The sequence below is a fragment of the Homo sapiens genome, chromosome 9 (assembly GCF_000001405.40).
Source record: "Homo sapiens chromosome 9, GRCh38.p14 Primary Assembly".
Classification (NCBI taxonomy): Eukaryota; Metazoa; Chordata; class Mammalia; order Primates; family Hominidae; genus Homo; species Homo sapiens.
The window spans coordinates 116,316,228-116,342,862 of NC_000009.12; the positions used below are offsets into that span (position 1 = coordinate 116,316,228).

General features: G+C 43.9%; 1 protein-coding gene and 1 long non-coding RNA gene across 4 annotated transcripts in view, besides 1 other annotated feature; one reads left to right on the forward strand and one right to left on the reverse strand.

The window, feature by feature from the left end:
- The window catches only part of PAPPA (pappalysin 1), a 248,531-nt gene that overhangs the window by 162,437 nt on the left and 59,459 nt on the right, over positions 1-26,635 (forward strand). For 2 of the 3 annotated variants that reach the window (NM_002581.5, XM_006717129.4), the window contains 3 exons: positions 15,017-15,130; positions 16,106-16,241; positions 18,634-18,847. In NM_002581.5, coding sequence (NP_002572.2) covers positions 15,017-15,130; positions 16,106-16,241; positions 18,634-18,847 — 464 coding nt within the window. The remainder of the gene's footprint in view (positions 1-15,016; positions 15,131-16,105; positions 16,242-18,633; positions 18,848-26,635) is intronic. The other variant, XM_017014784.3, reaches the window with a different exon arrangement.
- Positions 1-26,635, reverse strand: part of PAPPA-AS2 (PAPPA antisense RNA 2) — a 77,849-nt gene that overhangs the window by 30,400 nt on the left and 20,814 nt on the right. Inside the window, exons 2-4 of the long non-coding RNA NR_170222.1 lie at positions 3,396-3,573; positions 2,377-2,517; positions 2,031-2,164 (exon numbers count right to left, since the gene is read on the reverse strand). This is a non-coding gene — a long non-coding RNA (PAPPA antisense RNA 2). The remainder of the gene's footprint in view (positions 1-2,030; positions 2,165-2,376; positions 2,518-3,395; positions 3,574-26,635) is intronic.
- Positions 14,968-15,560: an enhancer, noted in NCBI's record as "OCT4-NANOG hESC enhancer chr9:119093474-119094066 (GRCh37/hg19 assembly coordinates)". NCBI's record gives its function as "activates a minimal SCP1, AML or CMV promoter by ChIP-STARR-seq in naive H9 embryonic stem cells {active_cell/tissue: H9 hESC(naive)}" and the evidence as "EXISTENCE:reporter gene assay evidence [ECO:0000049][PMID:30033119]".

The window sequence follows — 26,635 nt, forward strand, 5'->3', positions numbered from 1 at the left end:
TCATTCTGCAGTGGAAGATATTAGAGTTTATGAAGGGTTCAAGGCCATGTTGTCAGTGAATGGCAGAAGCTGAAATTCCAACTCACATTCCTTTGATTTAAAATGCATGTGTCTTCTGGTGCTTAGTGGAAGATTCAGGGAAGTGGCAGGTGCAGGGGTTGTTGAGAAGTTCACATTGTGGATCCCAGATTCTCAGGCACTGCATCTCAGAACAGCTGCTTCAACACCCTGCGTTTGTGCAGATGTCTGTTGCCCTGGCCAAGGCTGCCACTAGGGAAAAGCATCACTCTGGAAGGTCCTTGTTCCTCAGAGAACCCTGCTGATAGAGTGGTGGACATATAAGTCAACAGTGTCCATTGCACCTGTGGTGGACAAAGCTCCCCGGTTTGTACATCACAGTCACTGTTTCTACCTCTGAAGCCTGGAGGGGCAGGCCAGGGAGAAATACCACTTTTGTCTTTAAAAATGGGAGTTCTTGTTTGAGTTGGAAGGTCTGCAGGATGCTGTTAAAAACATAAGTGACTGCTGTCCACCTGTTCCTTTCATACATCACTGCATTGCATCCTTTGGAGACTCTTCCTAGGAAAAATCAAGCTCGAGGCAACCTAGACAAGAGTACTGCCTCCTCTTCAAAAGCAAAAGGAAGAGAGCGAATCATGTAGTGATTCCCAGCCCTTACTCATTGAGGCTATAGGAGGGGATGGGAGGACCCTGAGGTCTGCAGTGAGAAGCAGGACTCAGAGACAATGCACTCTGCATGATCATCTTGGCATCTAGTGGGGTTCCCTGCAGGTAATGTGACTTGTACTTCAATTTCAACACAATCTGGAACACACAGATCTTAATTTGGAAAGCTGAATAACAGGAGAAAGGGGGAAGAGGGGAGGAAACAAAAACAACAACCTGGAAACTTCTAGTTTTATGAACTTGAGAAAGTCTTGTTCTTTCAAGACAGATGTTTTTAAGTAAAAAATCATTCCTCTGACCTTTCTTGAATAGGCCGATGCGGTCAAGACTGCCATTAACCACTGTTCAACTATTCATAACCAAGGGTTTCGGTGACCAGGCACCGAACTTGGATGTGATCATCACTTTCCTGATTAACCCATGAATGCCCAGGGACTTTGATTTAAAATCAAAGGACAAAGAGAGGTGTAGAAGCTTCCTAAGACATCCCCCTTTAGTCTTAATAGCTCTGAGCTGAGTGATGGAGATGTCCATATTTTAGTGCCTTACTCCAGGGTTGTCTGTGTTTCTGAATTTCACTCTAGAGCCAGCAGAGAAAGCATTTGGATTAAAGCTAAGTAGATTTTTGTTTTTTATCTTCAGTGTCTAAATCTCAGTCAGTTTCAGGTTTGGGGCTATAGAGCAGAAGGCATTACCCAGCCCTGTTTTAGGATTATGGTGTTTTCGTATTCTGGTCCAGAACTTAGAAGTGTTTCAGTGCTCAACATACTGCTCTAGAACTGACAATGCCTCGGGCCCTGAAATAAAATTCATGATTTTTCAGGATTCTTATCTGGAGCTGGAAATGCCTCAGAATTTTCTACTGCTGGCAATAGCTCTGTGCTCCTGTCTAGAGTTGAGTGTTCATCCTGACTGAAGTTAACAGTGCTCTCTTGATCTGATCCAGAGTCTACACTGGTTTTATATTCTGATCTAGAATTCATGACATTTCATTAATTTCTTTCAGTACAAATGCAAAAATAAAGTTTAAACTACAGAAAGTTAGCAATGTATTTTTTTAAATAACGTGCTCAGAACTGTGTTTGCAACAATATTCAGCATCTCAAACTTATCCTTCACGCCTCCGCTGTTGACATCATTTGGGAAACTGGGTTTGTCATGGCTTAGCTGTGGCCGAGTTTTTCTCCTCTGGCCATTTTTTTTCCTCCAGTTCCTGCTCTCCAGAGCCCATTTGATATTAAGATCTTGCCTTTCAGACCTGGCCTTCAGATATAGATTGCCTCAGCAACTCCCTTCTCCAAGCCCCTCCCTCAGCCTTCAGAGAGCTTGAACACAGAACCTACCACATTTCTCTATGAGTGTTTGCTTGCTTCGTTCTTCACCTCCCACCCCCATGGGAGGAGAAGGAATTTTTATCTTTGTTGCTTTTGTTCCTTTGGGGTCCATTTTCTTCATGTGGACCATGGGAATGAAGAACCTAACACATAAATAAGTGCTAAATAAATGTTGAATGAATGAATGACAGAATGAGAGAGACATAGAAACATTTGATCCTAGGCTGGACAGAAAAAAAAAAGATGCTTTCAAAAGAAAACAGATCCCTGGGAGCACCCAAACCACTGCCTCTCACCCTGTAAGAATACAAGGAAGGTTTTGCATCCCACTCTTTTAACCCCGTCAGCATCTTACTCTTGGAGGTAGCACATGTGCTGTGAAGTCACCCACGGACCATCTGGCTGGGGATCCCGTGTTCCTCCTCTGCAGCAAGAGATTACGTAAACTGGACAGCAGCCTCCAGATGTTAGCAGTTTCTGCTCATTTTTTTCCTCCCTTTTCAACAACAATAATAATAATTAAAACAAACACAGGCCTCATCCCCCACCCGCACCCCTGAAATTACAAACAGGTGGGCCCAGATGTCCTCCCCCTTCCCATCCAAGGGCCTCCTATTCTTGAGGCCCAGCCGCCGACCCTCAGCAGGGCCTGCCCTGGGCTGAGCCGGACAGTCATGCCAGCTGCCCTGTGGCTCAGGCCACAGTCTCCCGAAAGGGGAAATGGCCATGTCATGAGAAGTCTCTGTGCCAGACTTTCCCTCTCCCCGCCTCCCACCCCAAAGCCTTGGCCTCCAACTTAAATGGATGTATTTTGGAGGACTAGGTGGCTTAAGAGATTAGTAATGAGATCCCAAGTCTTTCACTGCTGGGTCAGGAGTTCATAGGCGGGCCTGGGCGACTAGTGAATGGCATAATTAGGGAGACAGGGAGCAGGCCTGCGGAGGGCCCGTGTGAAATGAGCCCAGCCAGGCCTTTAATGGCAGCAGTTGTCAGCAGCACAAAAGGCGGCCGCCACATCCGACACTAATCACTCTCCCTTGTTAGAGGATTTACTAGCTGGAGGAGCTCAAGCCCCCTGCCCATCTCCTCCTCAAAACGGGCATCTGGGAAGGGACTCGGCCCAATGCCTGGCTGTACTGTCTGCAGAACGGGGAGCTGATGCCAACCCCATGGGGTAGAGGTGTGAGAACTAACATTTCATGCAATATAAATGAGTGACTAGTGTCATTATATTAATCAGTACTTCCACTGCTATTGTGAATTTTCTTTCTCCATTTGAAAAAGGGGGTGGGGTGGGTGATGAATCTCCCCATCACAGTGACATAAGGATGGTGTCCATGGAGGTGGAAGCATTTGGATATTTATCATCCTCACCGTTATTGTCATCATTCTCATTAAGATCAGCATGTACACTGTGTGGGTCTCAGTTTTCTCATCTGCAGAATGGACTGGGAATAGGAGATAGAACTGAAGTAACACAGACTTCAACATCCACTCCGAACAGGTGTGGCCTTGGCACCTTATTTATTACCTCTGAGCCCAGGCTGTTTATCTGTAGGACAAACAAGAAGGAGGATAGTAATACTGGCTTCCCGGGAATGTGGGGAATCTATGTTTGGAACATAGGTGCTGGACAGTAAATGATGGCAAAGAAAACATGTTAGCTTTACCACTTTCATGAATGGTGTCTTAGGCCTCTAACATAAGCTTTTCCCTTAGAAGAAGGTTGAGACATCTATCTGTTGTCCCCCAGAAATCCTGAACCTGTGTGTATGAAATTGAGGAATTTAATGAGTAGTCTCTAAGAATCAATTCTATGATTCTGAACCATATCATTTCTAAGAAACTTAGTTTCCCTATCTGTAAAAATGTTAGTATGCTGTAGGGCAATACGTCTTATATGATTTCTATATTCCCTTTCCATTGAAAGCCTGGCTTTTCCTCCATGATCATTTGGTCTGGCCAGGGGTTTGCACCCTAAATCCCAGGATTTCAGACTTGTGGGGAGGTGCCAGCCTGAAGGGTATGAGACCCCTAAGGAGTGTGAAATGCCTAATGTGTTAGGGACAGATCCCTGGAGCAACGAGGTGCTAATCAGCCCAGAGCTGAGCCCCAAGGCTGGAGGGCATCCAATGCCAAGTTATCTTATCAGAAAGTGTCTCCTGGGTAGAGGCTCTGAGATCTGCTGCTATTTCTAGAACTCTGGGAGGGAAGAAGAAGCCATCTCTCTGTTTCACACTCTGGCCCTGCACACAGGAAATGCTTCTTTCCTTGATTGTCTGTCTATGCCGAATAATAAATGCTCATATTGAAAGAAACGCAAACCACCCCTCCCTTTCCCCTCTATCTCTTTAAGGCAGGCATCAAAGGGGAAAGCTGCTCTGGAGGCCTGGGGAAAGTGATAATTGTTTCTAATGGTTGGTAAAAGAAAGCCTGGCTCCCCCCTCTCTTTTTTCTGCCATTGCTATTAAGTGTGTAAAAAGGAAGTGTGTGTGTATGTGTATGTGTGTGTGTGCCTGTGTGTTGTGTTGTGTTGTGTATCTGTTAACCCTCGGCTTCCCTTAAAGTTTTCTGTGTTCATTGGTCAGTTTGGAATTAGAGGCATAAGAGGGAAGCAGGGATAGAAGTAGGAATGAAGAGAAGATCTCAGGTAGGAGAGGTCTATAGTGCTCCGCAGGTAGTGGGAGAGGCCCTGAACCTGAAGTTGGAAGATTTGAGTTGTGTTTGTTCATTATATGCATTAACTGAGATGAGACATGTAAAGTGGTATTGTTGTTATACATTTTTTTTTTTTTTTGAGACGGAGTCTCACTCTTTCACCCAGGCCGGACTGCAGTAGTGCTATCTCGGCTCACTGCAGGCTCCACCTCCTGGATTCACTCCATTTTCCTGCCTCAGCCTCCCGAGTAGCTGGGACTACAGGCGCCCACCACCGCACCCAGCTAATTTTTTGTATTTTTAGTAGAGACAGGGTTTCACCGTGTTAGCCAAGATGGTCTCGATCTCCTGACCTCGTGATCCGCCCGCCTCAGCCTCCCAAAGTGCTGGGATTACAGGCGTGAGCCACCGCGCCTGGCCATACATTCGCTTAGCATCTAAGCTGGACCTTCCTCTGCTCTTAATACTGAAGATAGAAAAGACAAGAGCTCATTCTTCCCCTCAGTGAGCTAATGACCAAGTTCAAGAATTGCAAATAGGATTCATCTTCTAGGCCAGTTCTGAGCAATTAGAGTGACTCCCCATAGTGTTTTGTTGAGAAGGATTTAGAGGCCTACCTTCAGGGATGCACTATGTAATTAATGGTGCCTGTCCTGTGCAATGGATGAGAGAATGGTAGCACTGATGTCACGTGGGAATGAGTCCTGGTTCTCCTGGTCCCTTTCCTGCACTACATGGTTATTATTATCTCTAAACATTGGTCTAGGCCCTATAGACTTTGATTTCTAGATCTAATGCGTCACCAATCTTATAAAGCCTTGGGAAAGCCATATTAGTTTAACATAGGGGACATTTGGTGAGCCCTGCCCAGTAACCTGCATTAGACACTGATGAAAAGGAAAGAGAAGTCAGGCATAGGCACTGTCTTTGAAGCTCATACATGGAGATTCAGATGGACAAACAAGAAACCATAATGCAAGTGTATTACCTCAAGGGTATGGACCAAGAGTTATTGGGAGGTCAAGCCATGGAGTAAGAAGAGAACAGACTTTGCGTCAGACGAGCATGAGTTTGACTGCTAAGCCGTGGCAGGCTGATCAATGCCTACCCAAACCTCAGAGTCCTTATATCTCAATTGGGGATAAAGATGCTTATTTCACAAGATTATTAGGAAGGTAAAATGAGATAATACACAGGCAGCACCCATACTGGGCAGACCATCTTTAAGAGTTGGTGCTGGCCAGGCGCGGTGACTCACGCCTGTAATCCTAGCACTTTGGTAGGCCAAGGCAGGTGGATCACCTGACGCCTGGCCAACATGGTAAAAACCCCATCTCTACTAAAAATACAAAAATTAGCTGGGTGTGGTGGCAGGAGCCTGTAATCCCAGCTACTCGGGGGGTGGAGGCAGGAGAACCGCTTGAACCTGGTAGGCAGAGGTTGCAGTGAGCTGAGATCGTGCCATCGCATTCCAGCCTGGGGTACAATAGGAAGACTTAGTCTCAAAAAAAAAAAAAAAAAAAAAAAGAGCTGGTGCCCTCTCTCACTCTCCCAGGAAAGCACTGAGGAGGGAGAACATCATCTGATAAAAACAGCAAAGCCTGGTTTATGGAGGAGGTTTTATTTCACCTGGGCCATTCTGTGTCCAGGTTCCCTGAGGCCCTTTACAGCTGTAGTCTTATAGGCTGTCTCCCAGCAGGCTTTCCCTCCTGTAGTCCTCAGGACCCTTAAGAATCTTGGAGGTTTATATCAGGAAACCAACTTCTGTCCTTCTTGCACCCTTGCAATTCTTGGGAAATAACCTGGCATTGGAACTGCAAGCCTGAGGTTAAAATGTGGCCTAAGGAGAAATATTGAGAAACACTGGCTGGCTGTGTGTGTGTGTGTGTGTGTCTGTGTTTGTGTGTGTTGCACACTTGTACATTTATGGGTACTGTTAGTGTCAGTATCCATCCCCGCACTCCTCCTCCCCATTCCTTTTCCTATTTTCTTCTATAAGGCTCATTCGCAGGTCCCTTTGGGTGGAAAAAGGAAATTGGAGAGGTTGGACTAGAGGCTTGATGAGCACTTCCTCCCTCCCATGATTGACAAAAGGGCATGTAAATCTGTAAAATCGAAATTCAATGGAAACCTCATGGCATGTCCCCTGTGTGGGAAAATACCAGAGCCCCCGCTCCCCCTCTTCTCCCTCCGTCTCCCTGCCTTTGTGTACATCGTGTGTGGGTGGAAGATAAACTGGATTTAAAAAAACCCTTTGAAAGCAAGACATCGTTAACTCCTCTAATTGAAAGCAGTCTTCTGCAAAGGAGGGGGATTTGGAGGCGGGTGCTGGATGTAGCGGCTGGCAGTGCACTGAGTGGACAAGAGTCTCTGGGTCCTGGAGCCACAGAGTCCTCTGTTTCTGCAGACCTGGAACGCCTAGTCACCACCAGACATCCTGGCCCGTCACAGAGGAGCTTACTGTATATGTTCAAGCCGGTCTCTTCTCCCTCCACCGGGCTATGTTTCTCCATCCATCAAATGTGAGAATTGGAGTAAGAATTTCTGAGGACCCTCCCAGCTCAGATATCCAGTGATCCCAAAGCTCTGGACAAAGGATTTCCCCAGCTATTTTGCAGCTTCCAATTGCAGACACAAAAAGAAAGAAAGAGAGAGAGAGAGAGAAAAAAAACACATTGCTAGAAAGGCTGCAGTAAACTTTTATGTTACTGTTCTGATTGTCTTTGCCCAAAAAGGTGTCTTGGAAATTAGCCTTCAGCTTCAGAGAAAGGGACCCATAAGTCTCAGAAGTCAACAGGATGTTCACCTGCTGCACAGTGTGGCTTTGTTTGTTTCTTTGTTTGTTTTACACTTAATTTTAGAGTCAACATTCTTTTCTGCAGCATTCACCTGAGAAGCTGGAAATCAAAAGCTGGCAGAATGTCAGGACTGAAAAGCCCTTTGGAGATGAATTCATCTTACTCTGTCTTTCCATAAATAGGAAGAGTGAAGGTCAGAAAAAGTGAGCAATTGAGTCAGTTCTAGGAGGCAGGTCCCTTGCCTGGCAATTGCAGGCTCTTTCTACTGTATCACTCCACTCCGGGGCAGACCTGAAAAGGCCTGTTTTGGTCTGTTGAAGCAGCTTCTATTTCAGGAGCCCCAGGGAAAGACAACAAGAAGTCCCAAGTCCATCTTCCATGTGGCTGGGATTAAGACCCCGCTAGCACAAATATATCTATTCTCTTATTTAAAAATCTCATCACAGCCCTGAGAGACATGTGGGCAGGCTCTCTTGAAGTTAACATCTATGGTTAAGAATGTGGGCTAAACTTGTGCCTGGATTTCAATTTTGGTTCTACCGCTAACTAGTTGTATGACCCTAGGTAAATTACTGGGCCTCGATTTTGTTATCTGTAAAATGCATATCATTGTAATACCCACCTCACAGAGTCATGGTGAGCACTGCATGATTTAGTACATACAGAGTCCTTAAAACAGTGCCCAGCATAGAATAGGCACCCGATACATGTTGCTGCTGCTGCTACTGCTGCTGTTGCCTGCTGGGCCCCTATTATTTCCTGTGTGCTGGGAAATCTGCTGGGATTTATTTGAGGATAAATAAAACATGCTTCTCACCTTGGAAATCTTCAGAGTTTAAAGAGATGAGGCTGGACTCTATACAACTATAATCTAACTTGACAAGTGCTGTAACTGAGGTATAAATAAGGAACTATACGGACACATAAGAAAGAGCAATTAATTCTGCCTGGGGAGTGAGTAAAGGCTTTCAGAGGAGGGATGATATTTGAGAGTGGCTTTGAAATGCGTGTAGTATTTCACAAAATGGGCAATGCAGCGGTGGTGGGCGTGGGGGTTCTGGGCTCCAGCATCATGGAGGGGGAGTCCACAACATGTGAGAGAAAGAGTTGTCCAGCATGAAGGAAGCACCACTGTATAGATGCCAGGGAAGGGAGCACAGAGAGCAGTGAAATTGGTGGAAGCTGCTGAAACCAGCTCCTGAAAACCTTTGTAAGCTGTGTCAAGGGAAGGTTCCATCCTGTGGATCATGGGCAGCATGGTGGGTGGATAAGTAGCAGGGTGGTATGGTTAGTTTTTCTCCTTTGGAAAGTTAATTATGGGGAGCATTTTTATGAATGAATGTGGTGGGACCAGAAGCAAAAAGACTGGTCGTTGGTGCCCTTTCTCCACCAGAGGAAGTGGAGGTTTCAGTTGAGTCCAAGTAGCAATTGTGTTGCTTTGTAATTAAGTACGCAGAACATGGAATTCTAGAGATCAGTCAACTCCTAGTTGTGATATACAACTGGATTTAGGACCTTGAAAGGATTTTTCAAAGCCTCTGAGCCTCATTTTCTCACCAGAGAAAATGCAGTGGCTCTAAACTCCCAGACTATCAGGGTTAAATGATATTGTGACTATGAAACCCTTGGTGGATATTATGACTGTGGGTGTCCTTAAGCTCCTGGGGCCCTTAAAGGTCATTCCGTGCAACCATTCAGTACAACTGCAGAGGGGGAATCGGAGAGTCAGAGAAATGTCCAGTTAATTGGTGACAGAGCTGGAATTAAGCCAGGTCTTCTACTGTCCATGGACGGTATTTGAAGGAAACACAGAATATCTCTGCAGATAATGGATAGTCTAAGGGATTCTGCTAAAATGAGTGCCCCCCGCCCCCAAGGCCAAGTGGACAAGGGGTCACTTGCCTTTCAATTCCTCCAGGTGCTAGGATGAGGATGAGAAGCAGTCATCTGCCCAGCTTCCATAAAAGACACAGGGCTGGGTATCTTGGAGAAGAGAATGGTGTTGGGCACTAGAATTGCCGTCTGTCATTTCTGCCATGATTTCTTGGGGGAAGAGATATAAATGTCACTGGAGATGGTTCTACACAGCAAAAAATAGGATCAATAAGGTACAGAACATAAGTGAGAAAAGTGCACTATTTCTGGGAGACAGAAAAATTTGCTTTTTCATAAACGTGTTGCTCCTTATTGGCTGTATATTGCCGTGCAAGATACCTCCCTTCCCTTGACCACTGCAAAGGGGAATGATCTCAGCAGATAACCTATTCTAGTCCCATCTAACTTTAAAATAAGAAAGCTTATAGGCATTGCTACTTAGAAGAAACAGTAGGAGAAAGTGGATCCAGGAGTCTCTCTCTCTCTCTGACTGTTGGAGAGGACTGTCCAATGGTACATAGGCTTTCTATAAATGGAAATGAGCTGTATGTCCATGAAGTAATCAAGAGGCTTATGTCATCCATCCTCCAACCTGAGAGGACCTAAGTGAGGGTGCTTGTCAGCCCAACCACACCTGCTCTTTGCCTAGGACTACTATATCAATTTATTTTTCCCTTCACTTGATTATTTTATGTAAAAAATATTTAATGTATTTATACATTAATAAATGTAATTATTTATTGTTGTCCCAGGACAACAAAGCTGTGACCTGAAGCCACCCCAGGGACCAACTATTTTCTTGGAATAAGGGCTGGGGAAGCTGCTTATAGGGTCCTGCTAGATTGCCCAGGATGGGAAAAGAAGTAAGAAGGTTTTCTGCCAATGTAGACACCATTAAATCTGTACCAGGGGTTCAAAGAGTCAAATACATTCAGGCCAGTGGATCAACATTGAATGTCAACATTTTAGTCATTCAAAGTAATAATTCTTTATTTTTTATTGTGGGAAGAGCACACCGTGAGATCTACCCTCTTAACAAATTTTTAAGTGTATGGTACAGTATTGTTCACTATAGGAATAATGTTTTACTGCAGAGTCCTAGAACTTATTCATCTTGCTTAACTGAAACCTTATGCCTATTGATTAGTCACTAATCACTTTTCCCTTCCCCATCCCCTAGCAACCACCATTCATTTTGTCTTTGGTTCTATGAATTTGATTATTTTAGATACTTCATATTAAGTGAGCTAATGCAGTATTTGTTTTCCATGTCTGGCTTATTTAACTTAGCATAATGTTCTCAAAGTTCATTCCTCTTATTGCAGATTGCAGAATTTCCTTTTTTAAGGTCAAGTAATATTCCATTGTGTGTATATATCACATATTCTTTATCCATTCTTCTGTTGATGGACATGTAGGTTGTTACATCTTGGCTATCATGAATAATACTGCAATAAACATGGGACTGGGCAGGACAGAAAAACAGGTTTGAGCTCCATGGAATCTCTCCTTATCTCCTTTTCCATTTCCCTAGGGAAACCCAAAGCCTAGTGGTTGCCTGTGTTTCTAGAGCACTCTTGATGTGTTCCACAAGACAGGGAGCAATGTGAAAGGAGGGACCAGGTCTTGTTCACACCAGCATGACAGAGAGGGGAAAAAGGGTTACTGTGTTACTTCCTGACATCTCTAGGGCTGGAAGGCTGGGAAGAACCTTGGCATCACTGGAAGGATGGAAAACAGTATGGCTCTGCACGGGGTATAAGAAATGTGCAGATTGGGAAGGGGGAAAAGGTTAAGATTGGGAATGTCACCGGAGCCAGTGTCACTGAAGAAACTGGAGGAGGGGAGATGATGAGCGAAGAAGAGCTTAGGGGTGATGGTAGGGAGAGCTAAAGAGGCCCCTAGAATGCGTGATATAACTCTCCTGCATGTCTCCTCCCAAAACATTCAGTAAAGTCAACATTGCTCAGCAATGCTTTATGGAGTTGGATTTGCCTTTTTGGAAGGTGAAAAAAAAAAACACAGGCGGATGAAAACAGAGCATCCCCATAAAATCAGTCACCTTGGGGATCACACTTGTGTCCTTAGTGGCCAACTTTGTATCATGGGCAAGGCTCTTTTGTTTGCAGTTCTCTGAAGCCTGGCATGCCATATGCCCTCAGTAAATGGCTGCTGAATGAGCAGATTCACTCAATGTCTATGAAAGCAGGAGGCTTGTAAGGGTTTGCCTCTCTCTTCCTCTCCAGCCTCCCTCCAGTTCCCCAGGAACATAGATTATTTTGCAGATCAACTAGGGCTTTGGGCAAAGTTTCAGCTGGATTTGTTCATTCTTCTCTGATTTGCTTTGACTGTCCTTGGTCAGGATTGCAGCCAACTTGAAACAAACACAAAACAAAATAGGAAAACAGAAGAATAAAATAACACCAGTATATTCCTTTAAAACCCTGTCTAGTGCTAATAGAACTGACAAGAGGAAATAGTATTTAAGCAATAAGAGGGCTTTGTTCATGTCAGAGAATCCTGTAGCTATGAATGCTTCAGATGCAGAGATAAGACCCCCAATCCAGCCTTCAGAGATGTGCTTCACCAAGCTCTGCTGGGAGACAGGCAGCTAAGAACACAAGGGGAAAGAATTCCAAAATGATACATGTCGAATTGCTGGCCTGGATTTCAAATTCCATAGATAGTTTATGCAAAGTCTTGCGCTGTTGTAAAGTGTAACACAATCCACTGGCAGATCTGCCTAAACCCGGTCCCAGTTGTTTTTGAGAAAAATAAATAAACTTAAAAACGTCTTCCAGCCCATTTAAGTGGCTATGTTCTACCCTTAGCCTCCTCAGTGTGAGGCTTCTAGAGATTTGAATAACTGAAGCCATCACCTAATTTGTCAGCAATGGGATAGGAGATTCATGGCATGTTTCTTCTCAAGAAGTTACCAGTGATATTCAGAGAATTAATATTGTGCTTTCAGAACCTATCAATTCCTAGGGCCAGGGTGAGGGGAACTTTGGCAGCTAACACATTTCAATACTTTTTGATGCTTTTAAAGCAATGAAACTCTTTTCTTAAAAGAAATATTATAAGGCAGCTTTATATATACAACAGGTGAGTGCAGATGCTCTGTTTGAAATAGTAGAGTGGAAACTAAGTAGATCTTCTCTACATCATGATCCCCTGGCCAACTTCTTCATGGAATCCAAGGAATCCATGGAAGACATGTGAAAACCTATTGTCTAACCCAACATTCGGATGTGCAAGGTAAACTAAGGGCCAAAAGACAAGACAACTTGTTCAAAATTGCACACCACATTTTGGTTATCTGTATTATCCATATTGTATTTGCAACTTTACTATAAATATGAAATTACTTCAACAAAAGTTTTATTTAAAAATAAAAGTATTAATGCTTGCAACTGCAGATTATAATGCAACCATGTGCTTTGATTAGTGTCTCATTATTATAAAGAGAATTGAGACCTGGCATTTTCCAAGACCTCCTCGAAGCCAGAACCATTGCAAGAAGTAATGGAAAGAGAGACATTTGAATTTGCACAGATTTATAGATGGGATTCCCAGGATGGAATATAGCATAGAATATAGATGGGATTCTCAGCAAGATGGTGCCAAGAGTAAGAAGGATGGGCTGTCATAGAAAATTCAGACCTGGTCCCGTTCATTGGAGCCCACTGTACTGAACACATTGTTAGGAAAACTGATGTTGATGGTTTTATATCTATTTTCAATGGCTTTCTAAGCTAACAGTTTGGATTTTTTTTAATTTATAAAATTACATATGATGATGTAAACCAAAACCACCTATGTATAACAGGTGTATGCACTACCTGAAATTGACAACTATACAAGTTTTTCATATTTGCTTCATGTCTCTTTCTGTAAGAAAAATAACACACCACAAATAAGATTGAGGTCCTTTTTTTTCCTGACTCCCGGTGTCATTTCCTTTCCTTGATACACAGAGGCAACTACCACCCTGAATTTGATGTATAGTTCTCTACTCTATTTTTAATTCACATGAATCGCTGGGCAATATATAGTTTTGCTTTGTGTTATTTTTATAAATGACGTCATGATGTACTTATCCATTTGCACCTTATTTCTTTTTTCCTCTCAATGTTATGTTTTGCGATCTCTCCATGTTGATGTCTATGAGCTTACCATTAGGGCTTCCTTTTTATTTGGCTAGAGACCATACTGAGCCAAGTGTTAAACTATTTTTATATCATCCTTGTATATGAATCCAGTTTATTTCTCTTACTGTTCCTTTGCCATAATAGAATTCTGTCATGTGAATATTTCATATTTTATACATTTCTCCACCAACAGGAGAACATATAGACTATTTCCAATCTTTTCCTACTATATTTATTGTAGAAATGGATATTCTTAATCCTTGTATATACTTTTCCATTTTACTTTTGTTTTTGCTTGTTTTAGGTGTTTATGTTTGTTTGATCTTGTTGAGGATATATCACTTTTTTTCAATAGCATATGAGATCCTCAGGGCTCTCCAGGTCAGCCGTACTTTTCGGATGAGTAGAATGCACTGACAAGACATGAAATGACAGGCCCAAATTCACAGGGAAGTTTTGTGAGAGAAGCCACATTAGAGACCAGAGGAGAAGTACTAATTTGGGATGACCTTCTACCAAAGACCTCACCGATTTCAAGGACAGCTCAGCTGTTCCTATCCTCTTTCCCTCATTGCACTGTTTTCTGTTTATATTTATATATACATTTGTAATTACTTGACTAATATCTGCACACATTGCCTGCTCTAAGCTCTTCAGCATCTGTCTTTTTTATCATTTTGTCCCAGAGTGTTTGACAAGCAATAGTTACTCAATAAATATCATTTGAATGAATGAATGAACCAGTAAACGAAGTGACATTTGAATATGCAAGAAACCCCTAAGTTTGAAGAATCCTGCTTGTCTATAAATGTTTCCTGTTTCTTTTAATACTGTTTGGTATTTACTATCATTGAGAATGAATTTGTGTGTGTGTGTGTGTGCGTGTGTGTGTAGGGGTGTGTGTGTGTGTATAAAGTGATGGAACTGATTTTCTTTGTTGATGGAAAAGCAAATACTAATGTTTTCAGTCTTTTCTCTGTTGTAATATCACTTGGAGCACAATTTACAGATTTGTTCTAAAATCTTCTACTTGACACTCAAGATTCTATGAGATCTAATTGTTCAACCCACTTTTCTGCCACTGTCCCTCAGCCTCAGTAGTAACCATTTGATCACAACTTAAGGCGTTTGATCAAACCTAAGCATTCTGGGTTTCTGCTTTCCTCTGAGCCTTGCTTCTGTTCCCTCTGCCTGCAATGCCCTTCCTCTTATCACTGCCCTACTCTTCCAGGCCCAAATCAAATAACAACTCCTCCAAGATTTGTCTCCGTGAGAATATCTCTGTCATCTCTACCATCAAAATATGTTATCTATTATATCCTTAAAAGTGTTGAGGATTACCTCTTCTACATTAGAATGTGAGCTCCTGGACCAGATTCTGGTCTTTTCATCCCTGTTTTTTCCTGTGGTGCCAAGAGCAAAATAGGTGAACAGTAAAGGTTTGTAAAATTGAATTTAGTTGAACTTCTGACACTCTCTAAAACATGATTATTTTTTCTTTATATTTTTCCAGGTGTGTCGAACCAAGGTGATAGATCTCAGTGAAGGCATTTCCCAGCATGCCTGGTACCCTTGCACCATCAGCTACCCATATTCCCAGCTGGCTCAGACCACTTTTTGGCTCCGGGTAAGCTGAAGCTCTGAGAGCTTTGGAATCTCCAGCAGCGAGCCACAGAAAACACTGACTCCCATGACCCTTTCTGAAGATGGGTTGTCTACCTGCTGAGGGTGTTAATTGTAAGAACAGGGAACAAAACACTTAGCAGTGTGATGCTTCCTGAAATGGAATCCTAATTGCTCATGGAATGCCCCCACTGAGCTCTTGTTTTAGCAAAGAGTTTGGATACATCTTGTCTGCCTGGAACCTCCTATTCATTGTTCAAGATCTTTTAAAATTATCTTTTCCTCCTTGAGCCTTTTACTGATCACCAGAAAAAGAAGTGACCATTATCTCCCTTCTTGTCCTGCATGTTTGGTCGCTTGTTGGATGGTACTTGTCACATGGTATTACAGAACTGTCTATGGTCTTTCTTTCTGGCTAAGGATTGTGGATATTACTGCATTTTGGCTTGTGTGTCACTGACCTACTTTGAATTCCCAAAAATGCAAGGGCCATATCTTATTTAGCTTTCTCTCCTCAAAGCCGAGTGCAGAGGTTGACATGGAGAAGTGAAAGATAACAGTATGCACCTTTTTTTGTGTGTGTGGGTTTTAGTGTGGACCGGGACCTTTGCTACACACTTTACTCTCATTATCTTACTAGAACCTCACAACAATCCTATGATGTACCTGTTGATTTTTTTATTTTTTTTTAATCCACCATTTGGAAATAATGGAACTTAGACCCAGAGTGGCCCAGCCATTCACTCAATGTCACACAGCTAAGTATGAGCAGAGAAAGATTGAAATTGGGTTTCTGATCTCAGAGCCTGTGCTCTTCACTGTTAGGTTTCATTGCCTCCTCCTTCCCATCTTGGACCCCTGATGAGTAGTAGCCCAGTTCTTAAAAAGGAAGTTTCTCCTCAAATGCACCCCAATGTGGCTGCCTCCCCACCACATGACTGAGTGCACATGTGACCCTCCTACGTCTTCACAATTTCAGGCGTATTTTTCTCAACCAATGGTTGCCGCAGCTGTCATTGTCCACCTGGTGACGGATGGGACATATTATGGGGACCAAAAGCAGGAGACCATCAGCGTGCAGCTGCTTGATACCAAAGATCAGAGCCACGATCTAGGTAAGCATGCTCTCTTGGTCTTGGCTTGCTTTCAGTACCTGATTCCACCTCTGCCCCATAACTAGTTGTGAGGATCAGCTTAGAATGAGCTCTTCCTTCCTTTTTCCCCTTTCTTGCTTCTTTTCTATTTGGCATTCTGGTTGCCCTCAAATCAAGATGTGGTTATGTATCCAGAGAAATCAAGATCTGGCAGATACAGGGATAAGGGGCCAATGGCCAAGCACTCCCTTCTGCCAGCCACCTTTAACTCAGACATCCTGTATTATTCCCCACAGACCCCAAGAAGGAGAGAGACTGAGTAAGAGCCATTTCCCCGTTGTACATGTCACCATCTGAGACCCAAAGAGAGGCACTGAGAGACCCCAAGTCACATGGCAGGTCAGGAATTACTAGTTAGATTTTCAGCGTCATAGCCTATTGCTTTTTACCCTATAACCGGGAGTGTTCATGACCCTCCACCCCAAGTGGGGACTGTATCACCAGTACAACCTCTGGAGAAGTTTCCAATGAGAATAGGAATAGGAATATTGTAGGAGTAGGGAGGCAGTTGAGGAGTCAGGTTCTACCATGGGAGGACCTCCCTGAGTGCAGGGCCAAGGGGGAGGACAAGGGCTGGACTTGGCCACTTGTACCACCCCTTTGAATACCCACATGCACCGTGGTCCAGAGGAGAGAGCCTGAATCCAGAGCTGACAGCTGAGGTTTGGATCCTGTCCCCACCACTCACTCACCTTGAGAAGGTGAGCAATCTTCCTGTCCTCACAGCACATCACTTAGAGGCTCACTTGCTTCACATACACAGCAAGGACAATGATATCCACCTTAGAGTCAGAGTGCACTATTATTTGACACTGTTGTAACCATGCCTAGCACAAGATCGGGCCCTAAGAATTCCTATTGTCGCTAAGAATTTCCTATGACACCTTCACACTTCCAGTCTACCCTGGAGAGCTCTGGGCAGCCTGGATACTCCAAGTATTTGGAATTTTTGGCCACTACTGAAGCCTGGACTTCAAAGTTGTGCCCACACCATTCTGCAGAGAACGCCTTTCAAAGACCTGTATGAAGCAAGCCAGGCAAGGGGTCATTTCAGGGTCAGATAAAAGCCAAGGGAGCAGGGAAGATTTTCTTGTTTTGTTTTTATGCTTGTTTATTTAGTTCCTTTTAAAGGCAAGGGGAACCTATGAATAAGGAAGAGAAAGAAAACCCCTCTGGACTTAGCAGGATTCCTGGGAAATTTCCCTAAGTGAGAAACAAATATTTTCATAGTTGTCGTTGCACAGCCCAGGGCTCTGAGGAGAGGTTTTTTCAGCAGAGTGGGGAAAAGTCTGGTTCCACAGGAGCTCTTTGGATCCTGGTACTGATGCCTGAGGCTTTTCTGTTTTTCCCCTCCACCCCCACCATCACCATCTTCCTCAGTCTATGACATCCCAGCATTCTCCGAGGCAGCTTCACCTCTGGAACTGAGAAGGGCACCTGCTTCAGGCTTCCACATGGGAGATTTCTCCTTACATAGCAAGCCCGCCAGGACATGGTTAGGATTATACCATTTTTTGGATGTGAAAACTGAGTTTTAGGGGCTTTCTGGAGTCCCATTATTAGGAAGGGGCTACACCAGCATTTAAACTCAGGTCCACCCAACACCAAAGCCAACTTCTGTTTTGCTAATTCCATCTTGCCACAGCCTTCCTTTCCTTCTGTCCCTTGTGTATCTTTTCTCCCTGGCCCTCTCCCTTCCTTCTTGGAGAATGGGAACCTGCTGGCTGCATTAAAAAAAAAAAAAAAAAAAAAACAGGGCTCTTGAGTGAGGCAAGCTTGAATTCTCCCTAGAGTTTTAGCCATGCCTGGGCTGTGCTTCTCTGGAAAACCACCCCTGCCCACGATTCTCAACCTCTTCTGCAGACTAAGCAAGAAGTCCTTCCCTCTCAGGGCTGCTCCCAGGTTCACAGATTACTTATGAGAGTGGGCTTTTTACCCTGGGAAGCGCCTGTTGCTATGAATTATTTCCATCACTTTTCCAACTGACCAGGCAGGCAGCCTGAAACTCAGCAACTCAGACCAACAAGCCCTACAGCAATGTGGGAGGGAGGTGAGGGCCTGGGATGCTTGGCTGAGGGGTGGCCATTTGGGGGAGGGAGAGGGACTTTGGGCAGTAGGTGAAGGGGAAGCTTAGGGGGCAGGGAGGCAGGGGGATTGGAAAGATTTGGAACCAAGAAAAAAAGGCAGACAAAGAAACTTTCAATCAGACTCAAAATCCTCACCGGCCGCCCAATGGTGCTTTTGTGCAGTGACATGAAAGGGTCTGGGGGCTTCGGGAAGGGCCCGTTGGGGAGGGCGTGACTGGCCTTGAGTAATGAGCCTGGCCCCTCGGCCCCTCTGTCTCCCCTGACAGGCCTCCATGTCCTGAGCTGCAGGAACAATCCCCTGATTATCCCTGTGGTCCATGACCTCAGCCAGCCCTTCTACCACAGCCAGGCGGTACGTGTGAGCTTCAGTTCGCCCCTGGTCGCCATCTCGGGGGTGGCCCTCCGTTCCTTCGACAACTTTGACCCCGTCACCCTGAGCAGCTGCCAGAGAGGGGAGACCTACAGCCCTGCCGAGCAGAGGTAAGGGATCCGCGGCAGACTCGCCCTAGGCCACTTGTAGCCGAGTGGAGACAGTGTGATTTTGAAGCTGGGTAGCCATTTGTGTGGATGTAAAAAGTCTGTGCATTTCTCCCTTCTCCATCCATCCTCTGGCCTCTGGCCGGCTCTGCCTTGTGGCCCATGAGTCTCTGAATTCCTGGGGCAATTAAGGGAAACGGTTGTGTGGTGAAAAAAGAACCTCATTCACCTGGCTTGCAGCGGCAGAATTGACAATAGCTTGCAGGTTGACCCTGGAAACATCGGTTTCCTTCTCTGAGCTTCAGTGTCCTCATCTGAACAAAAAGAGGATTAGCTCTCTTTTATCTCTGAAATACTGGAATATTCTGCTTCCCGTGGCACAAGCAGGAGGCATAACCTTCCTAACCAAGGGGGATAGAGTGAGACTGGTATTTGCATCATCCTAGTTCACCGTGTGTTTCAGGGATAGGTGAAATCTCTATGTCTTCCACAAGCCTAGCTCCTGTGACCTCATGAGTGGTCTAAGAGCCTGTCTTTCAACTGCATGACATCACTCCCTCAGTGCTTTTGAGGTGCCATCTGTTAATGCACCTAGTTTGGAGCTACAAGCGAGTGGAGTTTCCTGAAAAGAATACGAGCTTTGGGAATACTCTTACTTGGGTTTGAACCTCCACATTACCACTTCTTGAATGGGTGTTCTTGGGCAAGTCACTTCAGTTTTCTGGGTCATAGTTTTCTATTTTGGAATAAGCAGATGAAATCTACTCCACAGGGTGGTTGTGAGGGTTACATGTTGCACTATAGATAAAAGTATTCCTGCAGACTGTTAGGCACTATGCAAACATAACATATTAAAGAAGAATATTTATAACCATCTTTTGATGATGATGGTGCTGCTTCTGTGCACAGAATTTTTTGTAAAGTTCTTAAAGTTAGAGCTGGAAAAAGCTTCAGAGATTATCTCATGCATCTGACATGTCCAAACTTCTGTGTTACCATGTAGAATCACAGGGCCCAGAAAGGGAAGAACTTGCGCAGAGTTGCACAGCGTCTCTCAGATTTGTTTCATGAGGTCCAGAAGAAGAGAGAGTTGTGATTTTTGTAGGCTACCCAAGAGTGAGGCTCTCTGAAAGTCGATTCAGCCTTGCCCTGTATACCTGGGGGCAAGAAAAAAAAAAGAGAAGAGGGGGACACTAGCCTTTCCCACGCCCCTGTTACCACAGAGGACACAAAAGGTGGTTGCAAAATCCACATTGTTTAGTACCCACTGTCTCTAGCTTCTGTTGTGCAAAGTCTGTCGTAATCTTTCAGAGGCAAGAGCTTCTTAAATATAATTCATTGTCTTATTTCACTCTAAGAGGATGTTTTCCACAAGCCCTTGTTCTCCAGACCCTATAAAAATAAGTTAATTCTCAGAGCCTAGGGAAACCATGTCAATGGAAATCCACTAGACCTTTTCCACAACACTTTCCCATTTTTAACCAGCCTTCCTGACCATCCATAAGTTGACTGAGGCCCAGACTGACTTGTTTGAATTCTCGACGAATGGTGTCTGTGCCCTAAGTAAATAGTAGGAAATATTTAACCACTGAAACATATCGATTGATACGTATTTGTTAGTTCTTTGGTTGTAGGAGGAACATTGAATGAGGGCAAAATGCTGCCCTATATCTGACTAATTATTTGACCTTGGATTAGTCATTCCCCTTCTCTGGGCCTCAGTTTCCCCATCTTTAAAATGATGATGGTGGATTGTGTGGATTCTCTGAGGTTCTTTTCAGTTCTAAATCTGTGTTTCTCAACAGTTAGGAAACATGAGAGAGGACAGGAAGGGACAAACCCTTGTTGAGCCCTTAATAGAAAGGAACATTATCTTATTTTATTATTGCACCTCTTGAATAGATAGGAACAGTATCTTATTTTATTATTGCACCTCTTCTGCGAGGTATGGCTCAGAGAAACAGAGTGAGTGAGTCATGACCATTCAGGCAGTAAGAGGCAAAATCCTGCTTTGTCTGTCCCTGAAAGCCGTGCTCTGCCTACCACAGCAAGGCACGAGTAGCAGAGAAGGAATTTTCATAACTGGACCCATGTGATGATTTATTCAGAGGAACTCTGAGTAAGGGGATGGAGCTGCAGCTCTGAGGTCTTTGGCTGCCTTATCCCTGAGCTTGGATCAGGCTATGACAGGCTGAATCTTGAGGGCTGAGGCTGCAGGGCAGGAGCACCTCCTCCTGAGTGCCCCAGTGGGGAAAGGACAGCAGCTGTTCATGGGGAGCTAAAGAGGCATTTACCAAAACAAGCAGGACTCTGCAAACATGCAAATGCATTAAAACAAACAAACAAGGGAGGAAAGGAAAGAAAAATAAGCAACAACTGTAAAGAACCATGGGATGTTTTCCTTCATTCTCAAAACACCAAAATAAATAGCATCACTTTTTATAACACAAATTTCAACTGGTTGTAGGAGAAACATCCCACTTTACTCTCAGCTGTTTCCCAGGTAGTGAAAAGTACTGTTTCTCCCCTCCCCTTCTCTCCTCCCTCCACAACCTTTCCTCTTTTTCCTGCATCTCTCCCTCTCTCTCCTCTCCCTTTTCTCCCACCTCTCCATCTCCTCTCTCTCTCTCTCCCCCGCCCCCCACCTTCTCTTACCTCCTTTCTCTTCCTCATTTTCTGTCTCTCCTGAGAGCAGTGTGATGCCTACTGTGCTGCCTTGGGAGGAGTCCTGTAGCAAAACCAGTTTGGGCAATGTGTTCCACTCTAGCTTCAGGGGTCTCCAGTCTCTTTGCAGTACTTGGTATAAATTCAGAGACCCAAGAAAACAGGATCAGGTTTCAAAGGAGAGGTCCAGTTGTGCAATTCTAGCCAAATCTCAGCCCCACACCAAGTTGTGGAAAGGAGAAAAGGTGGGGAGGGAAGGATAGTGATGGGGTGTGGGGTGGTTAATAGGCTTCTTTAATGAGAAAAACTACAGTGGTGATATTGAGGCTCCAGTATCTGTCACACACACATACATGCACATACATCATGTTCATCCACGTTGTGGTTCTTAACAGAAATTGAACAGTTTATTATAAAATTGAATGGACCATGTATTTAGAAAAGTAACTTCCTTCCCTCCTCCCTCCATTTATTCTTCTTTCCTTTCATGCTTCCTTTCTTCCTCTCACTCTTTTTCACATTCGCTTTCTTCCTTTATCTCAAACTCTTCCCCATTTCTACAAGCTGGTCCATTCAGAGAGAGACAGTTCTGATTGAGAGCTAAGTTTTAAAAGGCCAACTTTGGGGGGCAACAAGTTCTTCACATGGCTAGATTAACTCTTTCAGCCAGGGAGAACTTAGACTGTTGTTTGTTGGTTGGGGGTGGGGGTGCCCAAAGACTGGAGCCAAGTATTTCTAGAGTCTGTGCCCTGATGAGACCCCATGTGTAGAATATCTCATTAGGTAATGACACAGGGATTCATAGGTAGGATTTGGAACACAGAATGAAGCTGCTCTTGGCCAGAGACCACAGATTGCTCAGATCGCTGCCATAACCTCATTCAACTTCCCCAACCCACAAAGGAATTAGTGCCTCTCAGCACATTGATTGGGAATCACTAGTCTGGGGAATATAACTACAAATGGAACTGCTGTGCCTAAGCATGTGTGTGTCTTTGACTATGCCAAATACTGCCTGACTCTTCTCCAAAATATTGTCCAATTCACAGCCCCATCAGTGATCTACCAGAGTTCCAGTTGCTCCGTATCCTTGGCAGTGCTTGAGATTACCAAGACAACTTTTTCCTATTTTTCTCATTTCAAAGGGCTCTGAAATTATAGACCTCTGTTGTTTTGTTCTCATAAAATCATGAGGCCTAAAAGCGGGGAAGGCTCTGAAAGATTTCCTGGTTCTGTGCCCTCATTTGAGGATGGGAAATCTAAGTTCTAAGCAAGACAAGTGACTCGCCTAAAATCACCTAACAAGTTGGGGGCAAAACCAGCACTGGAATCTAGTTCTCAGGAATCCAGTTATCTTTCCTCTCCATCAGAGGTTTCAAGGCTGGTGTTCCATAGACCATATTAGTCCATAAACAATCTCTCTTTGGCCTTTATTAGTTATCTCCTTTAATTAGTTGCCAACATTTAAATATCAGGAGAGTTCATATTAAAAAACAGAATTCTTCTTGGAACTCTTTAAAGAAATGAGAAGCTTTGAAAACATCAGGCCCTCCATCCTACTAGGCAACCTTGGACTAGAGCAAAGCGCTCTGCTCTTTGGCCAGGCACATACCCTCTCCTCGACACACCCCACTCAGCTCGCTTGAACCCTGCAGGCTACTGAGCTTGCATCACCTAATCTTCAAAACTTGCCTCCATACCACACCACAATACACTGGCGCCTAGAAATCCAGGGTAAAGAACCTTTTAGGATCATTCCCCCAGGTGCCTCATTTCTGGGTAGAAAAATGAGGTCCTAGCATAGTAGCTCTTTCACTGTTTCACTTCCTAAGTGAACTTGCAGAATTGATGCCAAGAACAGTTTTCCCTCCATTTTCTAGTGTGGAGCACTTGTCTTTTTTGTTGTCCCCATCTGAGCAACCCAGAATGATTTATAAACAGCCTTTCTGTTTTTATCTCTGCTTCCCTGTGGCATAATTGCAGCTAAGTGGCAGGGCACAGCAGTTACACCGTGAGTCAAGGAACAGAACCAGGAGAGGGACCCTTGTCAGCCCTTTAACTTCTGGCTTTATCCGGGTTCCAGCACTCTCCAGCTATCCTCTGTTATGTGTGACTGGAATCCATTCTTATTGACAATGGAGACAGCAGTGGGGGGATTGGCTATTGGATCAGATAAGGTTTTACCTCTACATGGAATTTGAGTCCAAAGGTAAATATATTAAACATATAGATAAGAAGAAAAGAAAAACGTTATTTAAGTATCTGATCAGCTCTGCACCCCAGGGACCTCCACTTTTGCCCAGGTTTGAGAATTTGATCTATAGAATTACCTGCATTCTTTCCCGCTCATCCATCCAATCAGCCACCTTTCTCCCTTCAAAGAAGTGTCTTCATTTTTTTCCTTCTTTTGTTATTTTTATTGACTGCCCATCACTGTTATTAAATCCTTCCCTCTTTTTTTGAATGAAGCAGCAGAGCCTTTTATTTTGTTTTCCTTGTTTTGTTTTTTGTTTTTGTGTTTCAGAAATGACAGGGCTGTATCACAGAGTTATTTGAGACGGTCAGTTAGGGTAATGTTTATCATTTTTGGACAGTGTGTTCACACAACCTTGTCCAACTAACAGGATAGCAAAGAAAAAAGAGCAGGGACTTAGGGGACAGACTGGCAGATCTCTATTAGAATTCTTTCCAAGCTGAGTGCCCTTGGGCAAGCAATTTAAAACTCTTAGTCCTAGTTTCCTGTTCTTGAAAATGGGACTAATATCACTACCTCAAGGAGTTGCTGTGTGGAATGCAAATAAGGTGATGTAGGTGAAACAGAGTGGCCAATGCCTGACACATATTACCTCCCTTATCCCTTTTCTTCCTGTTTTCAAGCCTGCAGGCCAGGTGCAGACAGATGTGCTGAAAAAGCAAGATGCCTCAATCCCTGAAGTGTATTCTGGAAGGCAGTAGTCCTAAGAAATGTCCCATGAAAAAAAAATGTTATCAGAGTTTAAAAAACAATGTGTACCTTAGCCCCTTCTGGAAATTTTCAATGGGTTATCCAAATTATTGAGAAGTCCTGCAACTAAGAAAACTAACTGGTTTCATTAACTCAATGCTACCCCTACTGATCTGACCACGAAATCTTTTGATCAGGTGATTCATGGGACCAAGGACCATTTTTTCTTTTATAGCAAAAAGAGACAGAGTAGAGAGACTCATCTTCTCAAGGAGCTTCATAGTTCCAGAAGCATTTCTCTCGCTCTTTCTCTCTCTCTTGCCCTCTCTTTTTTTATTTTTATTTTTTTGTTTTATTTATTTATTTATTTATTTATTTTGATACACAGTCTCACTCTGTTTCCCAGGCTGGAGTACAGTGGTGTAATCTTGTCTCACTGCAACCTCTGCCCTCCAGATTCAAGTGATTCTTGTGCTTCAGCCTCCCAAGTAGCTGGGATTATAGGTGTGCACCACCGCTCCCAGCTAATTTTTTTATTTTTACTAGAGACAGGGATGCACCATGGTGGCCAGGCTGGTCTTGAACTCCTGACCTCAAGTGATCTATCTGCCTCAGCTCCCAAAGTGCTGAGATTACAGGTGTGAGCCACCACACCCGACCTCAAAGCATTTCTCATATATTGGCCTTACTAGTCTACAAACACACCAAGCTCCATCCTGTGCTGGAATTTTATACCTGCTCTTCCCTCTGCCTGATTATACCTCTGCCCCAAACCTGTGTATGGCTTATCCCTTCATTTTACCCAGGTAGTAGTTTAGATGTCCCTTCCTCATGGATCCTTCTATACAAAGTGCCTTGCCCCTTTCCACCAACTGTCACTATAATTTCACCTTGGTTTAACGGCCTAACTGCATGCATCATTATCTGAAATGATCTCATGTATTACTTTTCTTTGGCACACACCCTCCCTCCTGAAATACACAGGATAACAGGCATCTTGTTTATCCCCTCCGTCCACTATATTCCCAATGTATAGAACAATGTCTGGTGCTCAGTAAAGCCCCCAGTGAAGGTCTGTTGAATAGACGAATCAGTGGATGATGTCTCACCCTGTTGACAATCCTAAGAAACAAATTATTTTATTACTTCCACTTTACAGATAAAGAAACTGAACCTCAGGATGTTATATAAGTTTCCAAAGTCAGACAACTGATAAATGGCAGAGCAGGGGCTGGAGCCCAGATTTCCCTGATTGGTAAACCTTGTGCTCCTTCTACCCCAGAAAACGAAGCATTTCAGATCTTCATTTTCCTGTGAAGAAGAACTTAATGTGCACAAAATAATTGGGGAGGGCACTATTTATACTTTAATGGCTCTGCAACTTAAAGAAGAAAGTCATCTTTCCCTCTGGGTCTTCATAAGAGCCCAGGTACCTTCTGAGCGTGCAGAGTAAGAATGCCCAAACTGTTAGGCACAGGTCAGAACAGCTTGGGAGCTAGTAGCTTACAGAGTAAATATATTTAAATTGGAACCATGTGGTTCCTTCCCCTGGTGCTTACACAATGTGAACAGATGCATTGTTTAGTGTCAAAGCCCTTGTGTTGACTCCACAGTTACAGTCTCTTTGAGGTCTCCACATGGTACAATGCTGAGGCTGTCAGGAGTAAGAAAAAGGGCAGAGAATTGGAGTTGTCTCAACAAGTGTTCCTTAATGCCAGTTGCCCTGCATTTCAGAAGGAGAGTATTGGAGAACTGCAAAGCTCCCATCAGTGAGGGTCTGAGACCTAAATTAAATGCTTGTCCTTTCTGGGTCTTTAAAAAAGTAAATTGGTTTGTGATATGCTTTGGAAGCTTTTAGCTCCCCCCGCCTCCAGACTTTATTTCTCACTATACTTTTGAGCAGAGGGTAGAGAATAGGAATAGATCCCAGTAAAACCCTCAGTTGGGTATCGTGAAACTGAGAGAAAACAAAAAACAAAAAACAAAAACAACGACAAAAAAAAAGTGCAAAACTTTTCTGACACTGGTTTGGCCAAAATGTCTCCCTGTCTCCTAGATAAAAATAGGAACATAAAAGCCTTGAGGTTCTAGATGTAAATCATCGGTGCATACGATAGGCCAGGTGTTGGGGGTAGACACAGTCAGAGAGGCAAAAGTCAGAGAAAACTGCCCCCTAGAAGCTT